Source organism: Homo sapiens, chromosome 6 (assembly GCF_000001405.40).
Source record: "Homo sapiens chromosome 6, GRCh38.p14 Primary Assembly".
Classification (NCBI taxonomy): Eukaryota; Metazoa; Chordata; class Mammalia; order Primates; family Hominidae; genus Homo; species Homo sapiens.
This window is the reverse complement of record NC_000006.12, coordinates 167,162,851-167,170,072: the sequence shown is the minus strand read 5'-3', so window position 1 is coordinate 167,170,072 and position 7,222 is coordinate 167,162,851. Positions and strand designations below refer to the sequence as shown.

General features: G+C 45.1%; 1 long non-coding RNA gene across 1 annotated transcript, besides 2 other annotated features; it reads left to right on the top strand.

Annotated features, from left to right (window-relative positions):
- Nucleotides 1–92: 92 nt before the first annotated feature.
- Nucleotides 93–4,724, top strand: LOC105378123 (uncharacterized). The gene is made up of 3 exons (NR_134592.1): nt 93–142; nt 3,650–3,839; nt 4,451–4,724. It is a non-coding gene; the product is annotated as an uncharacterized LOC105378123 (long non-coding RNA).
- Nucleotides 3,905–5,104: an enhancer, noted in NCBI's record as "CDK7 strongly-dependent group 2 enhancer chr6:167578457-167579656 (GRCh37/hg19 assembly coordinates)". NCBI's record gives its function as "activates an origin of replication core promoter dependent on BRD2, BRD4, P300/CBP, MED14 and CDK7 cofactors, with strong dependence on CDK7, by STARR-seq in HCT116 cells {active_cell/tissue: HCT116}" and the evidence as "EXISTENCE:reporter gene assay evidence [ECO:0000049][PMID:35650434]".
- Nucleotides 5,908–6,896: an enhancer, noted in NCBI's record as "OCT4-NANOG-H3K27ac-H3K4me1 hESC enhancer chr6:167576665-167577653 (GRCh37/hg19 assembly coordinates)". NCBI's record gives its function as "activates a minimal SCP1, AML or CMV promoter by ChIP-STARR-seq in naive and primed H9 embryonic stem cells {active_cell/tissue: H9 hESC(naive and primed)}" and the evidence as "EXISTENCE:reporter gene assay evidence [ECO:0000049][PMID:30033119]".

Below are 7,222 nucleotides of genomic sequence, written 5' to 3'. Positions count from 1 at the left end.
CACTCGGATAGTTCCTCAAGCGACTCGCTTGCAATAGGCAGTAAACACCGACGTCGTGAATGAACGAAGAAACTACCACAAAGAGGAAACGAAGCACTTTTGTCCCTGCGCGTCATTCTAACCATGGATTGTGGGTCCTGAGGTGTGTGAGGGGCTGTGGTGTGTGTGTCCTGAGATGTGTGAGAGGCTGTATATGTGTCCTGAGATGTGTGAGGTGTTGTGTGTGTGTCCTGAGGTGTGTGAGGGTTGTGTGTGTCCTGAGGTGTGTGAGGTGTTGTGAGTCCTGAGGTATGTGAGGGGTTGTGTGTGTGTCCTGAGGTGTGTGAGGGTTGTGTGTATTCTGAGGTGCATGAGGGGTTGTGTGTGTCCTGAGGTGTGTGAGATGTTGTGTGTGTGTCCTGAGGTGTGTGAGAGGTTGTGTGTGTCCTGAGGTGTGTGAAAGTTGTGTGTGTCCTGAGGTGTGTGAGGGTTGTGTGTGTGTGTCCTGAGGTGTGTGAGGTGTTAAGTTGTGTGTGTCCTGAGGTGTGTGAGGTGTTAAGTTGTGTGTGTCCTGAGGTGTGTGAGGGTTGTGTGTGTGTCCTGAGGTGTGTGAGGGTTGTGTGTCCTGAGGTGTGAGAGGGTTGTGTGTGTGTCCTGAGGTGTGTGAGGGGTTATGTGTGTCCTGAGGTGTGTGAGGGTTGTGTGTGTGTCCTGAAGTGTGTGAGGTGTTGTGTGTGTGTCCTGAGGCGTGTGAGGGTTGTGCGTTTCTTGAGGTATGTGAGGGTTGTGTGTGTCCTGAGGTGTGTGAGGGTTGTGTGTGTTTCCTGAGGTGTGTGAGGGTTGTGTGTATTTCCTGAGGTGTGTGAGGGTTATGTGTGTATTTCCTGAGGTGTGTGAGGGTTATGTGTGTGTCCTGAGGTGTGTGAGAGTTGTGTGTGTGTCCTGAGGTGTGTGAGGGTTGTGTGTGTGTCCTGAGGTGTGTGAGGTGTTGTGTGTGTGTCCTGAGGTGTGTGAGGGTTGTGTTTGTTTCTTTGCTCCTCTCAGGTTCCACCCGGTTTTTGTTCGAGGGGTGAGAGTGGCCGGCCCCCTCCCCTCTCCATGGGGCAGGCAGCTTCCATCCCCATCTTCATGGTGTCTCCTTCCTCCAGAGACTCCGCCATCCCTGGGAAACCCTGGGGGTCTCTCTGCCCAGGCCTCACAGCACCCTGAGTTTGACCCAGCTGGAAGTTGTGATGTCCTCGAGTTTCTGGAAGCTTTTCTCAGTCATCTCTACAAGTTGGGGAATGAGGGCCCAGTGTCTCATGTCCATTTCCACAGAGTTTTATTTGTTTTCCCGAGGATGTGTGAGCTCAGACCTGTCCATCTCGCCATCAAAGCAGGTCCACCCACATGTTTTCATCACCAGCCATCATCGATGGGTTTCAGGCTTCGCAGCTCCCCTCCTGAGCCTCAGCCGGGGTGGCTCCCAGGGCAGGCTCCCCGCATCCCTCTCTGTGCTGCGGGTCTCTGTGGGCTGCTCTTCCCGGCCCGGCCAGGCCATTTTCTTGGCTGCATCTTCCCCAGATTCTCGTCCTGCAGCAAACACTCGTGGCCGCGGGTCAGGTCGGAGCCTCCTGGGCGTTTGGACTATGGGGCCCTTCCCTTCTCTCTGATAAGGCCCCCGTTTTCTGTTCAGCCTGGTGGTGCCTTAGCCGCGTTTCAGGCACAGTCTTCCAGGGGCCTTCTGGTTTGAACATTCTGCAGAGGAAAGCACAGCACATCTTTTCACTCATCTTTTAAAGTCAGAAGCCAGTTCCAGAGTCGGCTGCTTGGAGTAGCAGCAGATACACTTTTTAAAGTAGCTTAGCTGTTTAAATTTCTGGTTCAAAGGACTACTTCGATAGTGGTACAGACCCCTGACAAAAGAAATCACCTTTTGTAAATGTCATCACTGCAAATGAGCAATGTGATGGGGAACTAGTGAGATGCCATTGAGACTGGAACCCACCCCACTGGAGGCAGCTGAGCGAATTCGTGGATGACTAAATGTCGGAATACTAAGTTAGGAGAGGGGTGCGTGTCATCCAAGGAATGACGTGCGCTCACACTGTGCCTCAAGTGACACAGATCATAGTAGATTCCAGCGGAACACTTGCAGCTGTGTTGAGTTCCTCAAACTACCACAAAACTCGTATGGTAAAACTTGTGAGAGGTGGAGATAAGAGAGTGTGAGCCCTGTGATGGAATCCAAATATGAATTGTAAAACATGCCTTAATACTATCACCAGTAGCTGTAGCGTACAATGATAGAACAAAAAGAGAAGGATTTTCTAGTCATTTTCTAGTTGTTCCCTCAGTGGTGCATTTTAGCACTCCCCAAACTCCACGTTTCTTTTGGATTTTATGAGCTGAGTCTGAATGTTATAAGTGACACACTCGTTTTTTTTTTCTTGCGAGACAGGGTTTTGCTCTGTTGCCCAGGCTGGAGTGCAGTGGTGCTATCTCGGCTCACTGCAACCTTGACCTCTTAGGCTCAAGCAATCCTCCCATCTCAGCCTCCCTAATAGCTAGAACTACAGGTTCACACCACCACACCCAGCTAATTTTTGAATTTTTTGTAGAGACAGGTCTCGCTATGTTGCACTAGCTGGTCTCAAACTTCTGGATTCAAGCGATCCACCTGCCTCAGCCTCTTAAGTGCTGGGATTACACACTTTTCAAGCATTTTCTCTGTACAATATTTTGTAAAAATTGAGAATAAGGAAAGACATTGCCCCTCTAAGCAAGGTGGTAAGGCAACATATAAAAACTACTCAATCCACAATAGTGAGTGCTTCCATTAATTACATTCTAAAGTTTTTTTGTTTAAAATGAATTGGGGGAGTACATTATGCTCCTCAAGATAATGAATGGAGAAAAATGTCCAATGATTGCTAGCCATTCCGATAATGTATTTACTCTATGTTGTGTTATTTTGTTTTTGCAGTAGGACACAAGTGATTAGAAAGGATATCACATAGTCAGTGACCAGCTGAGACTGAGTACGGACAGGGGAAGAAGCTAACTTAGACCTAAAGGGACCTGGGATCAGGAGACATTTCTAGATAAGCCCCTCAGCCAGATAACATCAACCCATGACTTCCAATACCAATGCTGAAGAGGCCACAGAGGAGAGAGAATCTTAAAACATTTTTAATATCTGAAAGTTCTTGTATTTCAAGAAGTGGAAAGTTTCTTGATATGTGTATGAAGGTCAAGATTGAGATAGTGATACTGAGGGTGGGATGATACCACACTGAGGCTGGGAGTTTTATTTCTTTCAAATCTTTCTGTAGGTATATCTCTGTGGATTCCTACCACTTCTAAACCATAGTTACAAGGCCAATAAATACATAGAACAATGTTCCTACTGCTCGTGAGCATGATGCTCTTCCTAATAGCTCTATCGGAACCCTTTATTGCTCATGACCTTGTGTTCATATCATGCTATCTGATTATTCATCATTTTTCCTGGATCTGCTTGATATGAAATGTGGATACAGCTATGTTTGAAGAAACATGTTATAGGAAAAGAAACTCCGACCTCAGAATCTGAGGATTTGTATAATTTGGCCTTTACACAAAAGAATTATGTAATCTGGGGCAAGTCCCTTAATACAGTATTTGAACTTAATTTTATTGCCCTTTCTAGGTCTAAACTCTCAGCTGTGAGTACTAATTTGTGGCATGATGGTGAGGTGAAATGACAGAGGCTCATGGCACGTCATTGCAGAATATCCACTAGAATTTCACAAGTCACCAGTCATGGATTTCAGGATCTGACTGCTTGTCATCTTGGGAGACATCAGGATCTGACTGCTTGTCTTCATGGGAGACTTCAGGTACAGCTTAACAATTAGCTAAGGGGTTCCTCTGACAGACACCTATAATTGCTGCTTTAGCTAAAAGCCCCCATGAAAGACACAGGTTTACTGCATCATATGAACCTGTGGTAAATATTCTGTGACCTGATACTTACCCAGTCAGAGCTCTGTTAGACAGAACTAAATAGTTGCAAGAAAAATGAAAACTAATGCTCATAATAGTAGTCTTGAAATACTACAAAATCATGGGACTTTTGAGTCATCAGTGAAAGTAAAAGCTTAATTCAACATGTTTCTATTCTGTTCCTTATTATTTTCTAATTCATTAACTGTAAACTAATCAACAACCTCCAGTGCCTAGCACTGTGCAGCCATTGCAAGGCTTAAAGACGAGTGTGAGACGTGGTCCCAGGTGCCTGAGAAGTCAGTGCATAGTGAGAGAGAGGAAGAGACTGTACTAGGACAATTATCATGAGAACAGCACCAAAGGGGAAATCTGCCCCCGTGATCCAATCATCTCCTACCAGGACCCTCCTCCAACATTGGGGATTACAATTCGACATGAGATTTGGGCGGGAACACAAATCCAAACCATATCATTGCTAACCCCCTGCTCACCTCTCCTCCAGGTTCTGAGTTCCTGAATGTATCCTCCGTCTACAGGAGAGAGGGGGCTCTGGTCCTGACTTGGCTTCCTCCTGTCTTTGCTGATGGAAGCTGGGTTTTGATGAGAAACTTCTCCTGGCATGCTAAGGTCTACTCACAGCAAATGTAAAGTCTTAGAGGTCGAAGGCCTTGATAACTGCCTTTCCTGACCTTGCACTGTTTCTAGTGAGTTTAATTTAATACAAAGCAAAACAAGTTTGATGATAGCCTCTGGCTGACTGCTGGAACCCACCACGCACAGGAATTCATGACTGAGTGACAGCAGGAGCACTTCCCTCATCACACATGATGCGCAGGCCACCCAGCGAGGCACTTCATCTCCAGGTTGACAGTTCCTGGCTGACTCGGGTCTGCCACCTGGAAGAGCGTCTGTAATTCTGTATTGTGGAACAGAAAACAATGTGCAGAATACATTCTTTAAAACAGAAGTACAAAGTACTTGGAGGCACCTTTATCATATTCCACATCCTCAACTTTATTTGCTTTTTTCTTCTCTTCCATAGATCTTCCTATTTCTGCATCATGATGAGAGTGTTTTAATTTTTATAACTGAAGAGTACACTTTAGTATCTCATTTTAAATGATGGTGTTCCATACTTTTACTTCTTCTTCCAAAAAACAATTACAGAAATTTCTTCAAGTTCTAAGAAAAATACTGTCTTTCCTTTTCCCAGTATGTTCTCTATACCCATAGGTATCCTTCAAATACTGCCTAAGACATTCCCTATTGAGAAGGCCCCAGCCAGCTAGCTGTTCCCAGTGCTCCTGCCTCCACGCTCACGGACTGTGGGTCCCGGCAGAATGTGGCTCCATGGACAGAGGGTCTCTGCTTCATACCCCGCTGCACCCCCAGGGCCAGAGAGGTGCTTGCATGGAGGAGCTATTCAATACGTTTAGTTGAATGAACAAGCAAATGAATGAACAAAATATTGTTTAAAGTATCCATGTTACACCAAAAATATAATGCAATTTTCTGATGTCTTAAATCAAATTCTCCAGTGGCAATAAACATAACAAAAACTCACCTTTTTAAACCTAGTCTTATTTTTCACTGATAATGTGCTGTCACTTTTACTTCTCTTTATAGCTTCCTGTTGGAATGTCCACGTTGGAAGATCTACGTAGGGGTTTTCCATCATTTTAAGCTTAAAACACTATGTTTATGTTAACCCTGTTGAAATAAAACTGAAAAAAAAAAAGCTGTTTTTACTAACAAGCGCATTTGCACATTTCATGTTTCAACAGTGTTGGGTCCCAATACAATTATTCAACTTTCATTAAAATTTTATTTTGTAGGACTAAAATTTTTTCTATAACAATATAATTATGTTCAAAATGACTTCTTATACATGAAATGCTGATTTCATTAGTAACTCATTTCTTTGATGGTCTTCACATTGTAGAAATATTAAGAGGCTGCTAAAATTATTTTATTCCAAACTATACATGTAACTGCCTTATGGGTTCCTCCTGCTCACTGCATGAAGACCATGGCATTGCAGTAAAAAAAGAGTTTAATTGACACAAGGCCCCCGACGCCATGCGAGAGACAGAGTTATTCCTCAAATCAGTCTCACGGAAAGCTCAGAGGTGACGGGTTTTTCAAAGGTAGTTTGCTGGGAAGGGGTGGGGTAGCTAGGCCACGGGGACTTGCTGCTGCCTGGGGGGTGCAGTCATAGGCATGTGGGAAAGGGTCCTCCTGTGTACTCAGTCACTTCTGGGTGGGGTCACAGGAGCTGTTGCCGGGTTGAGGCTCCGATCCAGGTGGAGCCAGGCGGAGGCATCTGTGTCACACATGCAGAAAAACTTAAAACAATATCTCAAAAGGACAATCTTAGGTTCTACAACAGTGATGTTACCTGAGGAGTAACTGGGGAAGTTGCACACCTTGTGACCTCCAGAATCACTCACGTCTACACCTTAGCAGAATTCAGACTCCTCCCCTCCCCTAGCCTGGTGGTCTCTCATTAGCTTTACAAAGGTCGTTGAGCTTTGGGGAAGGGCTATTATCATTTCAATTACAAACTATTTATCTCCCAAAGCTAGCCCAGCCTGAGCCCAGGAATAATTAAGGCAGCGTGAAAGCTAAAGGCCAGAAGGGGGCTGGCTAGATCAAGATCTCCCCCAGTCACAATTTTCTCACTGATTTAATTTTTGCCAAGGTAGTTTCAGAAACTCAAACATGTGCTCAGGACCATCACAGGCCTCGCAACTTCTAACTTCCGAGATTGTACATTGCCTCTGACCACTCCCAGCTTCTCTTTCTACAATGATTCCTTTTTTTTTTTTTTTTTTTTGGAAATGACCATAGCTCCTTTCTCCTGAAGCTCAATTTCCCTGTGGCTGGAGGTGAAAATAAGACAAGAGAAATGAGGTGTTAGCACGATCTGGACCTGGGAGGGGAGCCAGGTTTAGGAAAATCAGGTGTCCCTGAAGTAAGAGGAAACTGTGACATTACAGAGATGGACGATGGTTTGGATATGAGAGCAAGACAAGAAAATGAAATGCAATGAACTTGTGAGAGTCGACAAGAAAGTTACTGACTGTGGTTGAAAAAAATGGGGAGCCCTTCCAGCTCGCTATAAATATCTCACAACTGGGTGTCAGTCCAAACTGCACCATTTGGTAAGCTCCCTGCTATTTTGCAGACCTTCGTCAAAGTGAAACATTTCACAGGGATTTGGGCCGTGAGAAGCATCCTGCGTAACCACCTGACCACAAGGTGGACAAAGGCC